The sequence below is a fragment of the Homo sapiens genome, chromosome 5, assembly GCF_000001405.40.
Source record: "Homo sapiens chromosome 5, GRCh38.p14 Primary Assembly".
Taxonomy (NCBI): domain Eukaryota; kingdom Metazoa; phylum Chordata; class Mammalia; order Primates; family Hominidae; genus Homo; species Homo sapiens.
Genome location: NC_000005.10, coordinates 133,085,517 through 133,108,096, shown reverse-complemented (window position 1 = coordinate 133,108,096; position 22,580 = coordinate 133,085,517). Strand labels below are relative to the sequence as shown.

Sequence of the window (22,580 nt, the reverse complement as noted above, 5' to 3'; positions counted from 1 at the left end):
AACCCATTTAATGTTCTTTCAAAACATGAGAGGCTATGTAGTTTTATAACCTACATTGTGTGTGTAAAAATGTAGGCCAGGCATGGTGGCTCACACCTGTAATCCTGGCACTTTGGGAGGCCAAGGTGGGCAGATCACAAGGTCAGGAGTTCGAGACCAGCCTGGCCAATACAGTGAAACCCTGTCTCTACTAAAAATACAAAAATTAGCAGTGCGTGGTGGCGCACGCCTCCAGTCCGTTACTCGGGAGGCTGAGGCAGAAGAATCACTTGAACCCGGGAGGCAGAGGTTGCAGTAAACCAAGATCCCGCCACTGCACTGCAGCCTGGGTGACAAAGCGAGACTCCATCTCAAAAAAAAAAAAAAAAAATACACACCTTTCTGTTAAAGCCACTTAAAATTATTGAAATAGATCAAGTGTACATGAGTACACTATCAAGTCAGATCAAAAAACAAGCATCACCAAGCCTCACATCATGTTGTCACTACTCCACAAAGAGTAACTACTATCCCAACTTCTAAAGCATGGTTTTCAGCTGGAACCATGCTTACATCTTCCCTCTTCCTGCAGGTACCAAAACCAGCAATTTTCCCCTTCATTTGGCTGTCCCCTCAAAGGTGGACTAAGTCCCACTACCTCCAACAACCCCCAGGCCCCCTGTGCCCCTGCAAAGCAGCTCCCACTGCCCCACAACAGAACCCTGATCTCTCAGGCCCCCACCTTTTAAGGAGACAGGGTATCACTTTATCACCCAGGCTGGAGTTGCAATAGCACAATCTCAGTTCACTGCAGCTTTGACCACCTGGGCTCAAGTGATCCTCCTGCCTCAGCCCCCCAAGTATCTGGAATCACAGGTGCACACCACCACACCCAGCTATCTCAGCTCTTTCTACCACATCTAACAATTCCCCTACAGAAACCACTTACATGCTCAGGAGGAAACCAAACCTACTAGACACACGTTTCTCAGACACGTGGCTACAATAGGCCCTGGGTAGGCCCTGGCAGGTAAGCTGCTCCTACAGCCAGAGGACTAGGACTGTGCAAGGGGCATGACCCAGGGAACAAGACCCCTGACCCCTCCTCGTCTAGACCCATGCCTTATCCAGTTAAGGTCTTTTTCACTGGCTTAGTGCCCTTTAAACACCCATCACCACCACATACATACACCAACACACATTCCACGCAGCCACACCACACATCCAGTGGCGCCAACTATTCTAGCACACTCTGGACCGCGCTGTTCTTTGGCCAGGTGTAAGTCCTAGCACTTACCTTTATGCCATAACCCCCGCCTTCTGCTAACAAAACCCTCAAAGTAAGGCCCAGTCACAGGAGCAAGACAAGGATTCCTAACACCAAAGGAACTGGGCCAAGACTCAACTGGAGAGTTTGAGTACAGAAAAATTAGGCAACATTTTCTCACAAAGTAGGCAGTGTGCTTCAGCTGTCACTCTTCAGACTGGAAGTCTTCAACGGATGTTAAGTGAAATTTAGCTCAGAGGGTTCCTACTCCTAGAGAACATTTTTATTGAAAACACACCCCCCGCCCCCACCCCACACACACATACACACAGACACACACACATACACACACACCCCCACACACACACCCAGCAGCCTTCATTATGGAATTAAGGAAACCATTCAAGTTTAAGACAGGTTTATTTTATTAGTTTTTCCTAAACTTGTCTCATGTTTACTGAATGATTTTCTTAGTGTAAGAACGTGACCTGGAGCTTTAACAAATCAGTTTGGATAACGCAACCTGGATAAATGCTTGTCTGTACACAAGCCATCAATTACCACTCTCTGTCCTGGCCTCCATGAAAATCCAATTGGTCTTAAAGCCTGTCTAAGCAGAGAGCAAGCAGACCACATCATCGTGTTTCAACTTGAAATTCACCCCCATCCCAGCACCCACACCCTTCCCCACACACACACACACACACACCAAAAAAAAAAAAAAAAAAAAAAAAAAAAAAAAAAAAAATTTTTTTTTTTTTAAGAAGAAATGGCCATTACGGTCTGGGCCAGTTGTAAAGGGTTGGCTTAATCCTGCAGCCAGCACTTTTAAAATAGCTACTGGCTTCACAGCAGGCCAGCTGGAACTCTTGAAGCATGACAGGTAGAGAACAGAGGATGTGCTAAGAACCTGGCCTTGTTGTGGTGCCTCGAGGCCTCCATGCATGCTTACACACCAACATAAGTATACTTTCCCCTTCCTCCTCCTAAGCAATTGTTCTCCATTGCACTTTAGAGCCTGTAACACTCAAACTTTTCAATGTTATCTAGAGATGGACAAACGCTTAATTCTAACTATGCAAGATAGCATCTTATTTCTAACAACATAGGCCAAAAGTAACAGAGAGGCACTCTGTTATACAGAATATCAATTTTTACAAAGATTCAAAACATTACCAACAAGCCCTGTAACAGTTTCTTAAAGCAGGTACCAACTCTGGCCTCAAACACAGGCTTCCCTTGGAGTTTCCAAAATGCCTCACTCCTGTCAACACTGCCCCAAAAAGCAGTCAGAGGAATGCTTTGGTATACCTGACATTGGCCACACAGTTAAGAATGAGGTGTTGTTATAACATCAGGCACCACACTTCTTTAACACTAATTTCAGACTCATCCAGTACAATCCAGTGTATCTTAGTTTTTTTTGCATCATCTGTCAGCTGCTTAACACGTACAAATTGGCAGGTTCATGACAGATATTAACACTTAACACACAAGTGATTGTGAATGAGCTAAAAAGAACTTTTAACTCTTGTTCTAGGAGTTCAAGCTATACCTCAAAATTATACAGAACATCTCCCACCTGAATAAACAGGCCAGGATACAAATCTTTACACCAAAATTAACAAGGATTTAATTCCTCAGTTAAATTTACCATGGCTATATCCAACAGTATATCTACCCAATTCTAATCTTCTGAAAATTATTTAGACCTTGATGCTTGGGGTATTCATGAACATACTTTCAGGAAGAGCCTCCAGGTTTAAAGCCCTCAGTTAACAACTTACTCTAGGCAAGGGGGTCTATTTTCCCAAGAGAAGTACATGGCATTTATAATGGGAGCCCTTTTATTGGGAGAGAGGGAAGAGAACACAGGTGAGGGTGAAGGTGAAATATGAAGAAGCTCAGAGCACACCTTTGTTCCTCTGCCGTGTTAATCCATGCCGTGCCATGCTCCAGCCCTCACAAAGAGGGGGACCCCATCCCCACACCAGGCAGGGAGCATTTAAAGCAATCTCCACAACAGATTTTTAAAGCATAATTAGAGCTCCTGCCATGTAAGTCATAATGAAAAGTCTGCTGGATAGCTAGAGCTGTAGCTATAGCTCAACTTTCCAAAACAAACTTATTCTTGTAGACACATGGTTAAACATAAAGGAGTGAAGCATAAGCTCAGTAAGACTAACTGGGCTTCTAAATAGTACCATTATGAAAAAGATACAATGCACTTAATTTCTGTATCTAACTATTTAGAAGTGAAAATGCTCCATACATTACCTATTTCCCCTCCCCGAAAATCCCCTAAAAACTGACTAAGAAATCTTCAGTATTCACTTGCGCTAGTTGATATTTAGAACAAAGTTGACAACTTAAAGCTTTATAATAGTCTGTTTTAATAGAAACAAGTGTTGGAATCAATCAATGTCCATTTCAGGAAGCTTCTTGTCTGAATCCGAAGGCACAGCTGTGTCTGTACCCTGCTCAGCAGCCTGGGGGCCTGGGTTGTCTCCTTGTCCATCCACTGGTCCATTCTGCTCTGCATTTTTTTGTTCCTCTTTTGGAGGTTCCACTTTGGGTTTGGGCTTTGAAATTATAGGGCTACAAGTACTTGTCAGCTCCTGGAATGGGTAAGACAGAAAACTGGTTTCTTATAAAATTAACAAATTTTACAAGCCATGCTAAACCCAAATCCGCCCTCTCCCACCACCCAATCCTCAACCTAGAAGCTAAAACACTATAATAAAGTTCCCTCCTAAGTGTCACTTGAGGACTATTAATAATAAGGCTGTCAAGAAAAGACTATTAAAAAAAAGTCTTAAATTACCTTAATTTTAGCTTCAATCTCTTTTGACTTGACAACTGGATCCATGGTCAAACTCTGCTTGTTCTGCAGATTTAGCTTGTTATTCATCCACTCCATTGCTTCATTTGTGCTTTTTTCTACCTTTGTCATGTCAGCAGCATCCAAATGATCATACTGGTCCTCCTGCAACCAGGAGACAGTCAAACAAGTGCTAAAAGTGTGATACCCTCCCTCCCCGCAACTACTGTCTAGTTTCTGCCATTTTTCAAAAACTTATAATCTTTCAAAAAATAAAGCATATTTAGCCTCACAATCTGAACAGAATTATTCAAAAGAAACCTAACCACAATTTTTGAATACACTCAGGATAGATTTAAATTTTAAAGGTCAAGAAAATTCATAAGGTATCAATTAAAAGGCTTCAACAAGATAAACAGCAGCACCCGATTTATACAAAATCTTAGGAAGATAATTTCACAATGCAAAAAAATTACATTAGATATGAGAGCTGAAGTTTCAGCATGCTAGTTCGGAACCAAAACTATAATGAATACTATTTTTAAAAGAAGGCCTTTGACGTGAACCCAGGAGGCGGAGCTTGCAGTGAGCCGAGATCACACCACTGCACTCCAGCCTGGGCAACAGAGCGAGACTACATCTCAAAAAAAAAAAAGAAGAAGAAGGCCTTTCGGGCTAGGCGTGGTGGCTCACGCTCGTAATCTTAGCACTATGGGAGGCTGAGGCAGGAGGATCGCTTAAGCTCATGACTTCAAGACCTGGACAACACAATGAGCCCATCTCCACAAAAAATACAAAAATTAGCCAGGCATGAGGGCCATGTGCCTATAGTCCCAGCTACTCAGGAGGCTGAGACAGGACAGTCACTTGAGCCCAGGAGGTTGAGGATGCAGTGAACTACGATCACACCACTGCACTAGAGCATGGGCAACAGACTGAGACCCTGTCTCACAAAAAAGAAGGAGGAAAAAAAAACAAAAAAAGGAGGGGCCTGATGGCTAATGCCTATAATCCTAGCACTTTGGGAGGTTGAGGTGGGTGGATCATTTGAGCTAAGAAGTTCAAGACCAGCCTGGGTAACATGGTGAAATGCCATCTCAAAAAAAAAAAAAAAAAGACAACCCTAGTTGGGTGTGGTGGTACGTGCCTATAGTCCCAGCTACTTAGAAAGTAGCTGAGGCAGGAGAACTGCTTGAGTCAGAGAGATTGAGGCTGCAGTGAGCCGAGATTTCACCACTGCACCCCAGCCTGGGTGACAAAGTGAGAACTTGTCAAAACACAAAAACAAACAAACAAACAAAAACCCACAAAAGCTCAATTTATCATTCAAAGTTTCTTACACTAACAATATGTCAAGAACCTGGGGTATAATGGAGGAACTTTATACTCCAAAGTCTGAACTTTGGAGTCAGACTTCTGGCTAAATGACAGTTCTCCCAATTTAGTGACCCTGAATGTTGCTTAAGGAAAGTGAGGCTTCAATAAGTTGGAATTTATCTATAAATGTTGATACCACCCCCTACCTTATAAAGGTACTGTGTGGATAATTACTGGCCTCAGGTGTTAGAAAGACCAGGATAGTGCATGTTAAGTCAAACACCAACGAAAAGGAAACTGAACAACACTGTTCAATTCCAGATTCCACCTATTAAAGAGATACAGCAAATCCTATGGTTCTTATTAAGACGCTATAAAACATTACACATTACATTAATATCCAAAATAAAAAGTGCTATTAAACAAGTTAATGAGAACAAGAGAAAAAAATGCTATGTAAATGCCTCAGAAGTTAACTTTACGGCCGGGAGCAGTGGCTCACGCCTGTAATACCAGCCAGCACTTTGGGAGGCCAAGGCAGGTGGATCACTTGAGGTCAGGAGTTCGAGACCAGCCTGGCCAACATGGCAAAACTCCATCTCTACTAAAAATACAAAAATAAGCTGGGCGTGGTGGTGCACGCCTGTAATCCCAGCTACTCGGGAAGCTGAGGCAGGAGAATTGCTTAAACCCAGGAGGTGGAGGTTGCACTGAGCCGAGATTGTACCACTGTACTCCAGCCTGGGCAACAGAGCAAGACTCCGTCTCAAAAAAAAAAAAAAAAAAAAAAAGTTAACTTTACTAAAATAAGAGTAGGACAAAGAAAAAAGTTACCTTGTTTTTGAAAGAGCTGATTATTTTCATATACTGTTGGATCTGTTTCCCTAGTTCTTCAAATAATTTTGGTCGTTCTTCAGATTCCTGGAAACGTATCTTAATAGGTTGACCTAGATTCTTAACAGAAGAATACACAGTCTTCATACGGCAGTTCAACGATCCAGAGTACTGATTCCACTAAAACTAGTGATAAAGTACATTTAATCTCCGTGTGCTATATATAAGAAGTTAAATATATTTCTCCAGGCCTTTGGAAATATGAAGCTACTTCAGGAGGGGAATGAAACTATACCTCAACACTGATCCATCTGGAATCGCTTCAATTTGTCACCTGAGCCCTCAAAACACAGCAGGGAGACCACCAAAAATTAGGTGCCTCCTAATGGAGATACACAGTACTAAATATAAAGTATACTTGCCAAAAATAAAAAATGTTTTAATTTAAAATCTTAAACATCTGAATCTGATGGAGCCTCTAAATGTAACCATCAATTTAACAAATAATGTTAAATACCACCAGGGAGGTGAAAATCAGCAAAATCCAACTAGAGGAAAATCCTACAGGACCAATGATCCAATTTCCTCATAAACTAAATAAGGAAAGGGTGGGGCGACATGGGGAAATAACGGAAGAAGAACTATAGACACAGTTATAAGCGACATCAATAAAATCTATGAGCCCTATACGGATACTGATTCAAACAAAAAAATCATTTATGAAATAACTGGAACTTGAAAACTTAATACAACAGTGATATTAAGATGTGCTTGGTCAGGTTCGGTGGCTCATGCCTGTAATCCCAGCACTTTGGGAGACCAAGGCAGGAGAATTGCTTGAGTCCAGGAGTACCCATACCAGTCTGGGCAACACAGGGAGACCCTTTCCCTACAAAAAAAATTAAAACAGCCAGGCGTGATGGCGCACAGCTGTAGTCCTAGCTACTTGGGAGACTAAGGCAGAAGGACCACTTGAGCATGGGAGGTCGAGGCTGCAGTAAGCCGTGATAACACCACTGAACTCCAGCCCGACTGACAGAGTGAGATTCAAAATGGCCCAGTTCCACAAGAAACCAAGTAATCCAGAGCTAAATTTAAAGAGAAATGTAAAAAGTTCATTCTTGTGCATCTGCAACCTTTTCTGAACAAAAGGCCTCAATTTTATGTAATTCTTTCATGTTTAATCCTAATGTTAAAAGATCAGATGCTGGGACTACAGGCACCCGCCACCACGCTCGGCTAATTTTTGTATTTTTAGTAGAGACAGGGTTTCACCTTGGTCTCGATCTCCGACCTCGTGATCCGCCCGCCTAGGCCTCCCAAAGTGCTGGGATTACAGGCATGAGCCACCGCGCTTGGGAGGCTGAGGCAGGAGAATGGCGTGAACCCGGGAGGCGGAGCTTGCAGTGAGCCAAGGTCACGCCACTGCACTCCAGCCTCGGCAACAGAGCAAGGCTCCGTCTCAAAAAAAAAAAAGATCAGATGCTTTAAATACAAAACCAGATGCTTTGGCTAGGCATGGTGGCTCACACCTATAATTCCAGCACTTCGGGAGGCCAAGGCATGCAGATCACTTGAAGTCAGGAGTTCAAGACCAGCCTGGCCAACATGGTGAAAAGAAACCCTGTCTCTACTAAAAATACAAAAATTAGCTAGGCATGGTGGCACGCGCCTGTAATCCCAGCTACTCTGGAGGCTGAAGCATGAGAATCCCCTGAACCCAGGAGGCAGAGGTTGCAGTGAGCCGAGACTGCGCCACTGCACTCCAGCCTGGGCAACAGAGCAAGACTGTGTATTTAAAAATAAATAAATGAATAAATAAATAATAAATAAATAAAATAATAAAAAATAAACCACCAGATGCTTTGCTTTTATCAAGAATCCAAACTACATAAACAGAAACAGCCCTGCTCCAGCTGCATTCCCTGTGCCTTTAGGGCAGGTACTAAGTCTTGCAGTCATTTTATCTCTTGACACCAAGAATGCACTAAACATCCAGTTCAGTGAAACATTACAAACCTAAAGTCAATTTTCAGAAAAATCATTTTGTTATTACAAGGTTCTAAAAGTGAGAATGATAATGAGCCTAAGTCATAAAGGGTTTATTTTAGTTCATCAAACATCATTTTCAGTCTGTCTTTACTTGAGAATTCCTCCCAAATTTGAGCTCCTCAGAGGAAGCTTCAACAAGGGTTCTGGATACCTCTGCTCTCAAGAGTCACTTACTTTTAATTCAGCCAACTTATCAACATAAACTTGCTTTGGCTGGTCTTCTCCATCCTCATACAACCAATTTTCAGTATCTTCCAGTTTCAAAGTAAAACTGTTACGATCCTAATGATAAAGAAAATATTATAATTAGGTCAATCAAAAATTACATCCCCAATACAGTCAGAGGCATAGAATATAATGATGTATCTGAGATTTGCTTTAAAATACAGAGGGCAGCCAGGTGCAGTGGCTCACACTTGTAATCCCAGCACTTTGGGAGGCTGAGGCAGGTGGATCACCTGAGGTCAGGAGTTCAAGAACAGCCTGGCCAACATGGTGAAACCCCGTCTCCACTAAAAATACAAAAAAAATTACCCGGGCGTGATGGTAGACACCTGTAATCCCAGCTACTACAAAGGCTGAAGCAGGGGAACTGCCTGAACTCAGGAGGCGGAGGTTGCAGTGACCCAAGATGGGGCCACTGCACTCCAGCCTGGGCAACAGAGCAAGGCTCCATTTCAAAAAAAATAAGATAAGATACAGGGGGAGTAAGGAGATGGGAGATACAGAAAACAAGGATGGCAAATGTTGGTCTACTTGATAGGTATGGGGAGTTTTATTATATTATTCTCCCTGCCGTGGAGGGCTTTCGGTAAGTTAAAAAATTTCAGAATAAAAACTGCATGTAAAAGCAAGTGCATCTGGGAACACTGGCTCACGCCTGTAATCCCAGCACTTTGGGAGGCTGAGGCGGGTGGATCACCTGAGGTAAGGACAGACTAGCCTGGCCAACATGGTGAAACCCCGTCTCTACTAAAAATACAAAAATTAGCCAGGCATGGTGGAGCATGCCTGTAGTCCCAGCTACTAGGGAGGCTGAGGCAGAAGAATCACTTGAACCAGGGAGGTGGAGGTTGCAGTGAGCCAAGATCGTACCACTGTACTCCAGCCTGGGCAATAAGACCGAAACTCCATCTCAAAAAAATAAAAAAATAAAAACAACTAAGTACCCATCAACCAATGAGTAAATAAAGAAAACATGGTAGACCGGGCACGGTGACTCACGCCTGTAATCCCAGCACTCTGGGAGGCCGAGGCAGGTGGATCACGAAGTCAGGAGATCGAGACCATCCTGGCTAACACGGTGAAACCCCATCTCTACTAAAAAAAAATACAAAAAAAAAAAAAATTAGCCAGGCGTGGTAGCAGGCACCTGTACTCCCGGCTACTCCGGAGGCTGAGGCAGGAGAATGGCGTGAACCTGAGAGGCAGAGCCTGCAGTGAGCCAAGATCGCGTCACCGCACTCCAGCCTGGGCGACAGAGCGAGACTCCGTCTCAAAAATAAATAAATAAAAAATAAAAATAAAATAAAGAAAACGTGGTATATACACACCATGGAATACTACTGAGTCATAAAAAGTAGCAAAATAATGTCTTTTGCAGCAACTGGATGGAGCTGGAGGCCATTATTCTAAGTGAAGTAACTTGGGAATGGAAAACCAAATACTGCTATGTTTTCCCTTATAAGTAGGAGCTAAGCTATGGAGCATATGCAGAAATATAATGGACTTTGGAGACTCAAAAGCGGGAGGACAGAAGTGGGGTGTGGGATAAAAAAACTACCATCTTAGGTATGATGTACAGGACGTGGATGACAGGTGCACCAAAATCTCAGAATTCACCACTATATAATTCATCCATGTAACCAAAAACCACCTGTACCCAAGAGCTATTCAAATTAAAAAAAAAAAAAAACTAAAAATTCTGAGTTACAATAAACAGGAAAAAGTGAGCTTTAACAATTTAAAGAAAAATACAGGCTGGGCGCAGTGGCTCACACCTGTAATCCCAGCACTTCGGGAGGCCAAGGCGGGCGGATCACCTGAGGTCAGGAGTTAGAGACCAGCCTGATCAACATGGAGAAATCCCATCTCTACTAAAAATACAAAAATTAGCCAGGCTTGGTGGCACATGCCTGTAATCCCAGCTATTCGGGAGGCTGGGGGAGGAGAACTGCTTGAACCTGGGAGGCGGAGGCTGCAGTGAGCCGAGATCACGCCACTGCACTCCAGCCTGAGCAACAAGAGCAAAACTCTGTCTCAAAAAAAAAAAAAAAAGAAAAGAAAAGAAAGATACAAGATAAATAACAATATTCGAATGTGTCAAAAGTGATTTGTGAACGTGATGCACAAAGACCAAACCTTACTAAACACTGTACTAATAGAGAAATATATAAAAAAATATAAAATTTTGCCCCCCCCAGAAAAACTCCATTTTTAATAATTCTACTATACACATATAGCTGCACACTTCCCTTCTAACCCACTTAAAGATGTTCACAGAAGACACACAGTAGTTAGGCATATTGTGGCAGACTTACATCTTCACTCACAAACTTCTCATATTCACCACTAAGCTTGTCTCTCATTTCATACACATATTCCTCCACTGCGTTCTTAGCATCATTCCGCTCCTTCTCCAGTTTATCCTGCATGATCATCTTACCCTGAGAATAAATATTATGTATAAATCAGACATTAGGACAACTAATTTCCTCTTAAATACCAATATAATTATAAAAGTAGAGACTCTTTCTTCCCCAAATCCTTTTAGTTCTGCAAGTCACATAACAAAGGTAAGTGGGAAGACTAATCCTTGACAGACTTTGAATATCAAAAAGAGTTTTGTAGGTGGGATTAAAAAAAAGAACAATAGAAATATCAAGGTGTAGACACTCAAAAGCAAAATTAAAGAATTTAAGACAAGAGAAATTTAAAAAACTATTGGTTCAATGTCACTAAGTGATATCCTCTGCTGTATTAATATGAGATAAGAAAAATCAAATTCATTCACGCAGTATAAATGCTGAAGTTTCCATAAGACAAAACTATTCTAAGATCCAGTGGAAACCTGGTAAGAAACCTCATAGACAAAAATTAATTCAATAAATGTGCTCACAAATCCCAAACCTTGCATCACTCAGTAAGAGTTACTATATTTACATACTGACTGGCAACGGAAAGGAATAAGCAAAATACTGCCACCATTAATGCCATACGATTTCTCCTACTGAATAACTTCCATGACCACCAACCTCAAATATCCCAATCTCTAGTGAACAAATATACCCACGTATTCAAAAATGAACAATACCTCCCCTACACCAAAGACATTATATGTCAAAATTTTCATAACAGAGCTTCTAGCAATACAGACATCTTAGTACCACCATAAAAGAATTGACATAACATGGGATCTATTGCTTCAACTTGCCCTTACAATACCACACAAAAGTCTAATTTATTTTCTCTAAGTCCAAACAATCAAAAATGCAAAAAGTCACTAGACACAGAGTCTGAATACTATGGTAACATTAATTTGTTAGCTCATTGTTCCAATAGACTTTAAATAACAACCTCATTTTCAATGTACAAGTTGAGCATCTCTCTGTCTATCTGCCATAATAGCTGATTCTCGATTGGCAGGTCCACAGTACTGGTCTTCACTTTTGCCTTCTTGGCTTGGGGTGGTTGGTCCATCTTTTTATCCTTGGATCCAGCTTGAGAGGTCTAAAACAATAGAAATCATTAAGAACAAACACATATACAGACTACCTTAAACTTCAAAATGAGTCATGTTGGAAAACTGTTTTTGCTTTTTTTACTTCGTTCTCTTTTGATGATGATCTAAGTAACTTAGGACTACCATAACATCTAGAAAATAAAAAATAAGTAAATACAATGAGGTATCTAGAGCAGTCAAATTCATAAAAATGGAAGCAGAATAGTGGCTGTCAGGGGATGGGGGAGGGGAATAATGGAAAGTTATTTAATGGGTATAGAGTTTCAGTTTTTCAAGATGAAGTTCTGAAGATTGGTTACACCACAATGTCTATCTACTTAACACTACTGAATGGTACACTTAAAAGCAGTTAAGATGGTAAATTTTATAAAATACATATCTCCTACAATCCCGTATCAATATATAATTACTATTAAAAATTTTTCTACCTTTATTTAAACATATAGACATTCAAATGAAGTTAGTGAGGAGGAGGGTATGAAATATCTATGGATCAGTAGTAACATATTGGTAATTTGATTTCTATAATGTCTGTAACTATTTATATTCTCACAAGGAAAAAACTCATTCCACTGCACCCTGTCCACAAATGAGAATTCATTTAACATCATCTCACTGTTATTCAGTATGAGTTTCTTTTAACCTTTTTCAGACACTTACAAGCCATATGTAACTATTTCCTCAAACTGCCTAGTAATATTTTATCCACTCTTCTCTTAGGATTGCAGTGTTTCTTTCCCCCACAAACAACTGACTCTTCTAGTTTTTTTTGTTTGTTTTTTTGAGATGGAGTCTCGCTCTGTAGCCCAGGCTGGAGTGCAATGGCACAATCTGAGCTCACTGCAACCTCTGCCTCTCAGGTTCAAGAGATTCTCCTGCCTCAGCCTCCTGAGTAGCTGGGATTACAGGCTCCTGCCCAGCTAATTTTTGTATTTTTAGTAGAGATGGGGTTTCACCATGTTGGCTAGGCTGGTCTCGAACTCCTGACCTTAGGTGATCCGCTGCCTCAGCCTCCCAAAGTGCTGGATTACAGGTGTGAGCCACAGCGACTCTTCTAGTTTTTTCTAACTGTATTATTTGTCTACATATAAGTTTTGACTGTCAAATCTATCCATCTTTTCCTTTGAGATTACTTATGTTGCTTTCATACTCTGAAAGCCCTTCCTCATCCACAGATTAGAAAAATATTCACTTCAAGCTTTTTCAACTTTCAACTTTAGAATTCATCTGGAATTCAATTTGTTCTATGATAAAGCAAAACCTTAATGTCATTTCCCACCTCCTATAACTAACTTAAGTCGGCTGCTGAAATTTATCTATCATTTCTATTTCATTTGCCTTTAGAAGCAATGCTATGCAAAAGGCACTTTAGTTTCTGAGCCATCCCAAGGAAGCCTAGATAACTAATACCTCTAAAACCCCCTCCCACAGCTCAAAGGCATTGGGGAAGCAGCCGTCACTTCTCCCTTCTCTTCACCCACCTTCCACAAACATATAGGAGAACAAGTCCTTGTCTCTGCCACTGCTGCCCCCATCCCACCCAACAACATAAAGGGTCTTCCATCTTGAAAAAGGCCTGACCCAACTAAAGAATCTGTAAGCACCATTTCCTGTCCATTTTCCTTTTTAATATTACTTGCACAGCTAAAGAAAAGCAATTAAATTTTGTTAATTGACATGAAAATATACAACGGACTTAAGCCACTTTAAGGTTCTGTCCAACTTTTTTAAATGTCACTTTTAAATTAGAAATTTGTAAAAATTAGAAACTTTTTAAAATTAGAAACTCCTAAGATGGTGAGATTATACATTGTAATTTTATAAATAAAAGATATTTTCAATGATAAAAAAATTTAAACATGACAACTCAAAATTAAAGAATAGGTTGTAAAGGATTCAAAAATGTTACTACTCTTTTTGAAATAAATACATTATTTACATTAATCACAAAATATATTTAAATCCATTATTCCATTATTTAAAATAACTTTTTAAGATGGAGTCTTGCTCTGTCGCCCAAATTGGAGTGCAGTGGCACAATCTCAGCTCACATAACCTCCATCTCCCAGGTTCAAACAATTCTCATGCCTCAGCCTCCTGGGTGGCTGGAGCTACCAGCGTGTACCACCCCACTGGGATAAATTTTGTATTTTTAGTAGAGACGGGGTTTCACCATGTTGGCCAGGCTGGTCTCACTCCTGACCCCAAGTGATCCACCCACCTCGGCCTCTCAAAGTGCTGGGATTACAAGCATGAACCACTGAACCAGGCCCCATGCCTTTTTATTAAAAGTTGTTATTTTGGCTGGGCGCAGTGGCTCATGCCTGTAATCCCAGGGTGCTGAAGTGGGAGGATCACTTGAGGTCAGGAGTTCAACACCAGCCTGGCCAACATGGAGAAACCCTGTCTCTACTAAAAATACAGAAATTATCCGGGCGTGATGGTGCACGCCTGTAGTCCCAGCTACCCAGGAGGCTGAGGCATAAGAATCGCTTGAACCTGGAAGGCGGGGGCTGCAGTGAGCCGAGATCATGCCACTGTACTCCAGCCTGGGCGACAGAGCTAGAGTCCATCTCAAAAAAATAAAAAGATTAAAAAGTAAAAGGCATGGATCATTGATGATTTTGAAAATTTTTTCAGTTTCATTATTGTTTATCAGTAATGAATTAAATTATGGGTAGAAAGACTTAGTATAAGCCATTCAGAAACTAGCATAAATAAATCACTAGCCTAGTAAAACTAGGATTCCTGAGTGCTTTCTTCCCATGTATCAACCAGGAGAGAGTTTAAAGGCCATCTTGCAAATAGCACATTACAAATCACTACAAAATCTTCCTAAAAAAATTGTTCAAATAAATTAAGAGTTTCTAGTATAACTATCTTTCAAGACACTGCCCCTCAGCCAAAACCATGTACTTTAAAAAGACTGCAGTGCATACTCTAAAACACAACTCAGCCGGGTGTGGTGGCTCACGCCTGTAATACTAGCACTTTGGGAGGACAAGACAGGTGGATCACCTGAGGTCAGAAGTTCGAGACCTGCCTAGCCAACACAGTGAAACCCTAACTCTACTAAAAAATACAAAAAAAAAAAAAAAATAGCTGCCGTGGTGGTGGGCGTCTGTAATCCCAGCTACTCAGCAGGCTGAGGTAGGAGAATCACTTGAACCCAGGAGGTGGAGGATGCAGCGAGCCGAGATCATGTCACTGCACTCCAGCCTGGGCAACAGACTGAAACTCTGTCTCAAAAAAAAAAAAAAAAAAAAAAAAAAAAAAAACACCACCCAATGCATACCTCCATTTCTTCAGACTCTGCCTTATTTTCTGCTGGTGTCTGCTGCTGTTGCTCTTCAACATGTGGTTCCTCCTGGTCCACTTGCATCTTCTGAAAAACAGGTCAAATTAAATCCTGCAATTAGGAAGACTAAACAACCTTCATTACACATTGACAAAGTCACATAGTTATGTAATTCCTGCTGAATTACCAGCAATCAGAAGGCCTATGCTAAAATTCCAGGTAGGCCACATTACCTAGGACACAGAAGTTTTCCGCTCTGGATCTTAGTTAATACATCTGTACAATGAGGATAACACTCGCCCTGCCCTACCCTTACATACACAAGAATAACTGTGGAACTGCTTTGTACACCATTAAGTACTCACAGTTCACAATGTGGCATCATTTAATACAATCTACAAAATACAACCTGAAGAGAGCATAAGCTTCTCCAGGCTTCCTCAAAGGTATTTTCTCTCAAAAGTTCCAACTTTTTCAAATAGTTCCTAAGTCAGCCTCTCTTCATCCTCAAAAGTATGACCACTGCATGTGCTCGGGGAGGCGAACACGTTAAAATTACAAAGCCTAAAAATAACAATGAAAGAAGGTTTGTGGAGAGCCTGAACCAGTGGCTTCTCAATGCCTGCAACATATTAGAATGACCTGAGAGGCTTTTAAAACTACTGCTACCTCAGCTCAGACCAACTTCAGTAAAATCTGTGGGGATGAAACCCAAGCATTTGTAGTTTTGTTTTCCTTGAGGCAGGGTCACACTCTGACACATAGGCTAGAGTGCAGTGGCGCAAACAGGACTCACTGCAGCCTTGACCTCCTAGGCTCACGCAATCCTCCTGCCTCAGCCTCCCATGCAGGTGGGACCACAGGTGTGTGCCACCACACCTGGCTAGTTTTTTTGTTGTTGTTGTTGTTGTTTTTAACTTTTTGTAGAGATGAGGGTCTCACTTTGTTGCCCAGGCTGGCCTCAAACTTCTGGGCTCAAGCAATCTTCCTGCCTCAGCCTCCCAAAGTGCTGGAATCATAGGTAATTTGTAGTTTTGTAAAGCTTTGATTCTGATGCACAATGAAGACAAGACCCAGTGCATAATTCCAACAAATGAGTGTACAATCAATTCTACTTTTGAAAATAATTAACTGAGACTCAGAGCACTCTTCAACAACCAGAATCAGGAATAACTCAAGTTGAGAAGTGTATGATCTGAAAGAAGAAATCAACTTGTGTTCCACTTCTATACAAATTCTGCATAAAAATCTACTGCTGGTTCACTTATATTGGGGGAAGGGCAAACATACAAACCCACTCTCACTCAGCAGCTCTGTCACAATGCTCCGGCCTTGCCACCAAGTCTGCTTGCTACAATTTCTAGACAAGTCACCTCTGGGCCATCACAAGTGGTATACAATGTCTAGATTACCTCTTCCTCCTTTGCATTCTGATCTGTTTCCATTGGCTCCTCATTTTCCTCAGACTTGTGAACCTCCACTAAAGATGCACTGGACACACTGAAAATGCCATGGACATTTACTCGAACTTTGACTTTCACTTTTGAACTGGAGCCATCAGACTGAGGAGTGACTTTCTGAACTGAAAACTGAGCTAGGGACATACGAGAGACAAAAGAACACATAACCTAAGAGGATGAATTCAAGCATGAATATATGCCTACATTGCTAGATTATGTCTACTTTCAATGATAGCTCAGTAACATGATGCTTAAAATAAGCAAAATCGGTCCTTTTAGAATCTTATTAAATCATCAGATTTCTCTTTCTTCTTTCACAGTCTCTTATTATCTTATCCTGCCCCAATTAAGAACTCAAATATCTCCCGATTCTTTCCTTTCTTCCAATTTCTTATTTCCATTTATCTTTATATGCTACTTTCAGATTAATTCCTAAAACAGATTTGTCACATTCTCTACTCAAAAAACAAAACAGAAAAAAAAAATGATTCCACTCTGCTTGTCGTTTATCAGTAAATTGCCATTTCTAGGTCCAGTGACTGTACAAGGTTTTTATTTACATTTTCTTCATTCCCAGAACTCTGCAAAGTATGAATTATCATTGTTATTCCTGGTTTTACAGATTTACAGATGGGGAAAAAAGAATAGGTTAACTTTCCACAGCTTCTAAATGCCATTCAGGATACTCCTAATTTCTTTACCCATATATTCTAGGTCTTTATACTATAACTAGTTTCTATCTCTTCTCAACTAGTATTATTTCCAGATAAGAGTTTCCCAGAGTCTATAACTACTCTAGATAACACGGTTCTGAAACCTAGTATGTTTTGATATTGTATCACCATCTCCTAATGATTTTCTATATACATCCTTTTTTTTTTTTTTTTTTTTTTTTTGAGACAGAGTCTCGCTCTGTCGCCTAGGCTGGAGTGCAGTGGCGTGATCTCAGCTCACTGCAAGCTCTGCCTACCGAGTTCACGCCAGTCTCCTGCCTCAGCCTCCCAAGTAGCTGGGATTACAGGCGCCCGCCACCACACCTGGCTAATTTTTTTTTGTATTTTTTTAGTAGAGACGGGGTTTCACCATGTTAGCCAGGATGGTCTCGATCTCCTGACCTGCCCGCCTTGGCCTCCCAAAGTGCTGGGATTACAGGCGTGAGCCACCGCACCTGGCTATTTTCTATATACATCTTATAACTGTATGTTAGGGTCCAAACTGAATTTCGTTAACTCCTTATAGTATATAGCACCACCTTATACATAAGTTATAATTACAATGTGCGCTAACCAAGAAAAACTGCCGATACAATGGGAGATCCAATTAAATAACAGCCATTTGGCTGGTTCTAAACCTGCTAACGAGACTGGAAGAGGTTTTCTTTTGCAATCTAAAGCCCCTAAATTTCAGAATACCATACTTGTTCTTTCTACTATGCGAACTCTCCAAGTAGATAAGCTTTTTTTTGTTGTTGTTTAAATGGAGACAGGGTCCCACTATGTTGCCCAGGCTGATCTCGAACTCCTCAGCTCAAGTGATCCTCCCACCTTAGCCTTTCAAAGTGTTGGGATTACAGTTGTGAGCCACTGTGCTTTTTTTTTTTTTTCTTTTTTAATTTCCAACTCTTTACTTACCTATAGCAGGATCTGGATAGGGCAAATCCTGAGGAGAGCTGTAGTAGGCCTCAAGAGTGAAAGGTTCCTTTCTATAAAATGTAAGAACTTTAGAGAAAGGAGCAGCATGATTTTTGGAAAAGACTTCACAGTCACTGAATGGAGGAAAAAGACAAAAACACAAATTCAGGATATTCCTAACACTTTTACCCATGTGTTCTAGGTTTGTAATTATTGTACAGTGTTAGTTTCTCTCTCTTTTCAATTGGTATTATTTCCAGATTATAAGAGTTCCCAAGAATCTTTATATATAAAGTCAGTAAAAAAGGAATATACGTCAATCTGCACATAAAAGGCACTGATGATTTCAGCAGAATCAAGTGTGAGAAACTAATTAAGGACACAAATTTATTCTGACTAAAATAAATGACCACTTCCTTCATGCACTATGATAAAATGTTACAGATTTATGTAAACTGAAATGAAAAGCAACATATTACTCAGACCTAATAGTCAATTAACTTTAGATATGTAAATGATTAATAAACATGATACCTTGACCCTTCTTCAGCTGGAGAATTCCATCTCAGAGATATTGGATATGGTACTACATCAGTGATAGAAAATTCTCTGACTTTGAAAGCAGGCGATAAGATGGCACACTAGAATAATAATTTTCAAAAATTCCGTTTAACAAGTATAGACAATATAAACTGATAATATCACTTAAACATACAAATTACTTCAGAAAATCAATGGTCTTTTTAAAATATTTATATTAGTAATTTAATGGTGTCTGAACAGTTTTACAAACTTCTATCATGTCAATTACCTATATAATCTAGCTATTCCTTATTTTTCTATTAACCCCAACCCTTATTTAATTAATGTACACTATTTCATACAGACATACATAACAGGCCAAACTTCCAGTCATACTTCAGGCTCAGAGTTACCTATGTTTCTAGTCAATTAATTCATCTTATGTGCTATAGAGTACAATTATTTTTAGGAACATCACCTCTATTTTAAAACAAAGGTTTTGGAATCTCAACACCCTGAAGTCACCCTGAGCTAATCCCAGGTTATTAGATACATAAACCACTGCCATCTTGTTACAATGATTTATAAATGGTTACCTATAAAAGAAAGAATATTCACCTGCAATGCACAGCCTCGAGTGACAGCTTCATCAGCATTTAATGTTGTACTAAGTTCTTTACCGAAAAATTTGCTGATCTTCTCTTTTACCGCAGGGATTCGTGTAGCACCACCAACTATCTCCACTGCATAAATATCTTCTTTCTTTAACTCTATTTTTAAAGAATTAGACAGATTTTTTTAATGAAATGAAAGAACAATAACATCTTACCATGATGAAATAACTCAGATGTGTAACAAAACTCCTCCAACTCCCTCACCCACCTCCGCAACACACACATACTCATGCCCACACTCACAGAGGCAGGTGGCATCTGGAAACAAGTAGGTGTTTTAATTCTCAAAATAATGGGGGAAGGGTAGCTAGTGGGATTTAGGAGGTGAGGGCCAGGAATCCTCAAATGTACTGCAGTGTACAGGTCCTGAATTTCTCACACAATCTCACACAAACAAGTGTTAAAACATCAACAGACCAAACATTCAAACACGCTAGCCATCAGGAAAATAAGAGGGCCTCAAACCACTGAGTTATTCTGACCTGACATTAAAGGAAAAAAAAGAAGAATCACATCCAGCTACTCCAGTGTTCTAATCCAAGGCATAAACATAGTCCACGTTAAAACACAGGTAGAGGCCAGGCATGGTGGCTCATGCTTGTAATCCCAGTACTTTAGGAGGCCGAAGTGGGCGGATCACCTGAGGTCAGGAGTTCAAAACCAGCCTGACCAACATGGTAAAACCCCGTCTCCACTAAAAATACAAAAATTAGCCAGAAGTAGTGGCGCATGCCTGTAATCCCAGCTACTCAGGAGGCTGAGGCAGGAGAATTGCTTTAACCCAGGAGGTGGAGGTTGCAGTGAGCTGAGATTGAACCACTGCACTCCAGCCTGGGTGACAGAGCAAGACTCCCATCTCAAAAAATAAAAATAAAATAAAAAATAAACTACAGGTACAGTTTCTTCGTATCAGAAAGAAGGTGTGTATCAAAGGATCTGCTATTGCTCATAAAATACTTCTTAATATCACCTGATTTCCTGGTCACATTTTATCTAACAACCATTGATAACTTCTTGAGAAGGGCTATTTAAAGAAATGGGCTTTCCCAGTGTGGAAATAAGCCCATTTGCCATCATCACTAAAGAGGAAAGCCTGTGCCAAGCTGACAGTATATCCCAACACTCTGAAATAGCAATCAACACAACAGTGAAGTCCAGGTAAATGGTTTGTCAAAGAAAGATTTTAGGAAAATTAGTATATATTCCTAAATCAAACAGTCACCTTTTAGCCTGAGACAAAATTAAAGCATCTTGTTAAATAAGTATGTGGTTATCCTACCTTCCCACTTTGCTGTAGCTCTCATCCAGCTAGGGAAGAATTCACTGACAGAAAAGCTTATAAGACTACCATATCAGCATCGCAAAAGACAATTTTTACCACCATTAAATAATTGTGAGGCTTATATCCAACTTTCAGTCTGAATTCAGTTTCTTGGAGAAACTTTTATTAGATTTCCCTAGACATTTCAAAAGATTACTTTGGGCAGGGGGAAGATACAGGTTGAAAAAAAGTTTAATATATACCACTGAATTAGTTCATACAATAAAAATTTCTATCACTGCTTGCAAAAGTAAGATAATAAATAACAATTTCCAAACAGTCTGAGATACGCAAACAAATTCAATCACAAAAATACTTACTGGTTTGTTCCAAAACACTACGAAGTGGTGGCTCCACTCTAGCTAAGAGATCATTGCACATCTCCAGAAATTTGCCTCTATAAAAAACAAAACAAAACAAAAAACACAGTACATTAAATCACATGCCACTTTTATGTGGAATGGATGGCTATAATAAAAAACAGGTAACAACAAGTGCTGGCAAAATGTGGAGACAGTGGATCCTTCATACATTCCCAGGTAATAGAAAATGAAAATGGTGCAGCCACTTGGGAAAAGTGTTTGGCAGTTCCTCAAGACGTTAGAGAGTTAGCATATGATTCAGCAATTCCATTCTAGGTATATAGCCAAAAGAACAGAAAACACATGTTCACACACAAAACTGGTATATCAACGTTCACAAGCAGCTGAAACAACCCAGATGCCTATCAACTGTATAAAGCGATACAAATGAATGAATACAATAAGAGGAACTAATACATATCACAACACATGAAAACATTATGCTGGGTTAAAGTCAAACAAGAACAAAAATTTATGTGAAATATTCAGAATAGGTATATCCAGAGAAAGGAGACGAGCGGCTACCAATGACAAAAGGGAAGAAGAAGAGATGGGAAGGACACCTAATGAGTACAGAGTTTGTTTTTTGTTTGTTTGTTTTTGAGACAGGGTCTAACTCTATTGCCCAGACTGGAGTGCAGTGGCACGATCTTGGCTCACTCTCACTGCAACCTCAGCAGTGAGTTCCCAGGCTCAGGTGATTTTCCCACCTTAGCCTCCCAAGTAGCTGGGTCTACAGGCATGCACAACCATGTCTCTTTCTTTTATATTAATACACATTTTTAGATGTTTTAGGTCTACAGAGAAATGAACATAACAAGAATCCCCATACATCCCCTCCTCACTCCCAGCCCAGTTCCTCTATTAACATCTTGCATTAGTATGGTACATTTGTTACAATTAATGAGTCAATGCTGATAAATGATAGTTCCTATTAGTGTTTTATGAGTTTTAACAATGTGTAAGTATTCACCACTTCAGTAACATACAGAATAATTTCACTGTGCTCCAACTATTCATCCTTCCCTGTGCTCCAACTATTCATCCCTCCCTGTGCTCCAACTATTCATCCCTCCCTGCTCCAAACTCCAGGTAACTGACTGTTTTATTGTCTGCATAGTTTTTTTTGGGGGGCGGGGGCGGCAGGGCTTTTTTTCAGACGGAGTTTCAATCTTGTTGCCCAGGCTAGAGTGCAGTGGCGCAATCCCAGCTCACTGCAACCTCCACCTTCCGGGTTCAAGCAATTCTCCTGCCTCAGCCTCCTGAGAAGCTGGGATTACAGGCATGCACCACCTACGCC

At 40.5% G+C, this 22,580-nt stretch overlaps 1 protein-coding gene across 1 annotated transcript in view; it reads right to left on the bottom strand.

The window, feature by feature from the left end:
• Window positions 1-1,647: 1,647 nt before the first annotated feature.
• HSPA4 (heat shock protein family A (Hsp70) member 4) overlaps window positions 1,648-22,580 on the bottom strand; it is a 54,437-nt gene continuing 33,504 nt past the window's right edge. The window contains exons 8-19 of the mRNA NM_002154.4: window positions 21,239-21,315; window positions 19,542-19,693; window positions 18,936-19,042; window positions 18,402-18,535; window positions 16,723-16,904; window positions 15,308-15,397; window positions 11,847-11,999; window positions 10,811-10,936; window positions 8,445-8,552; window positions 6,219-6,338; window positions 4,071-4,232; window positions 1,648-3,864 (exon numbers count right to left, since the gene is read on the bottom strand). Of these exons, the coding sequence (NP_002145.3) occupies window positions 3,661-3,864; window positions 4,071-4,232; window positions 6,219-6,338; window positions 8,445-8,552; window positions 10,811-10,936; window positions 11,847-11,999; window positions 15,308-15,397; window positions 16,723-16,904; window positions 18,402-18,535; window positions 18,936-19,042; window positions 19,542-19,693; window positions 21,239-21,315 (1,615 nt within the window). The 3' untranslated portion in view covers window positions 1,648-3,660. The remainder of the gene's footprint in view (window positions 3,865-4,070; window positions 4,233-6,218; window positions 6,339-8,444; window positions 8,553-10,810; window positions 10,937-11,846; window positions 12,000-15,307; window positions 15,398-16,722; window positions 16,905-18,401; window positions 18,536-18,935; window positions 19,043-19,541; window positions 19,694-21,238; window positions 21,316-22,580) is intronic.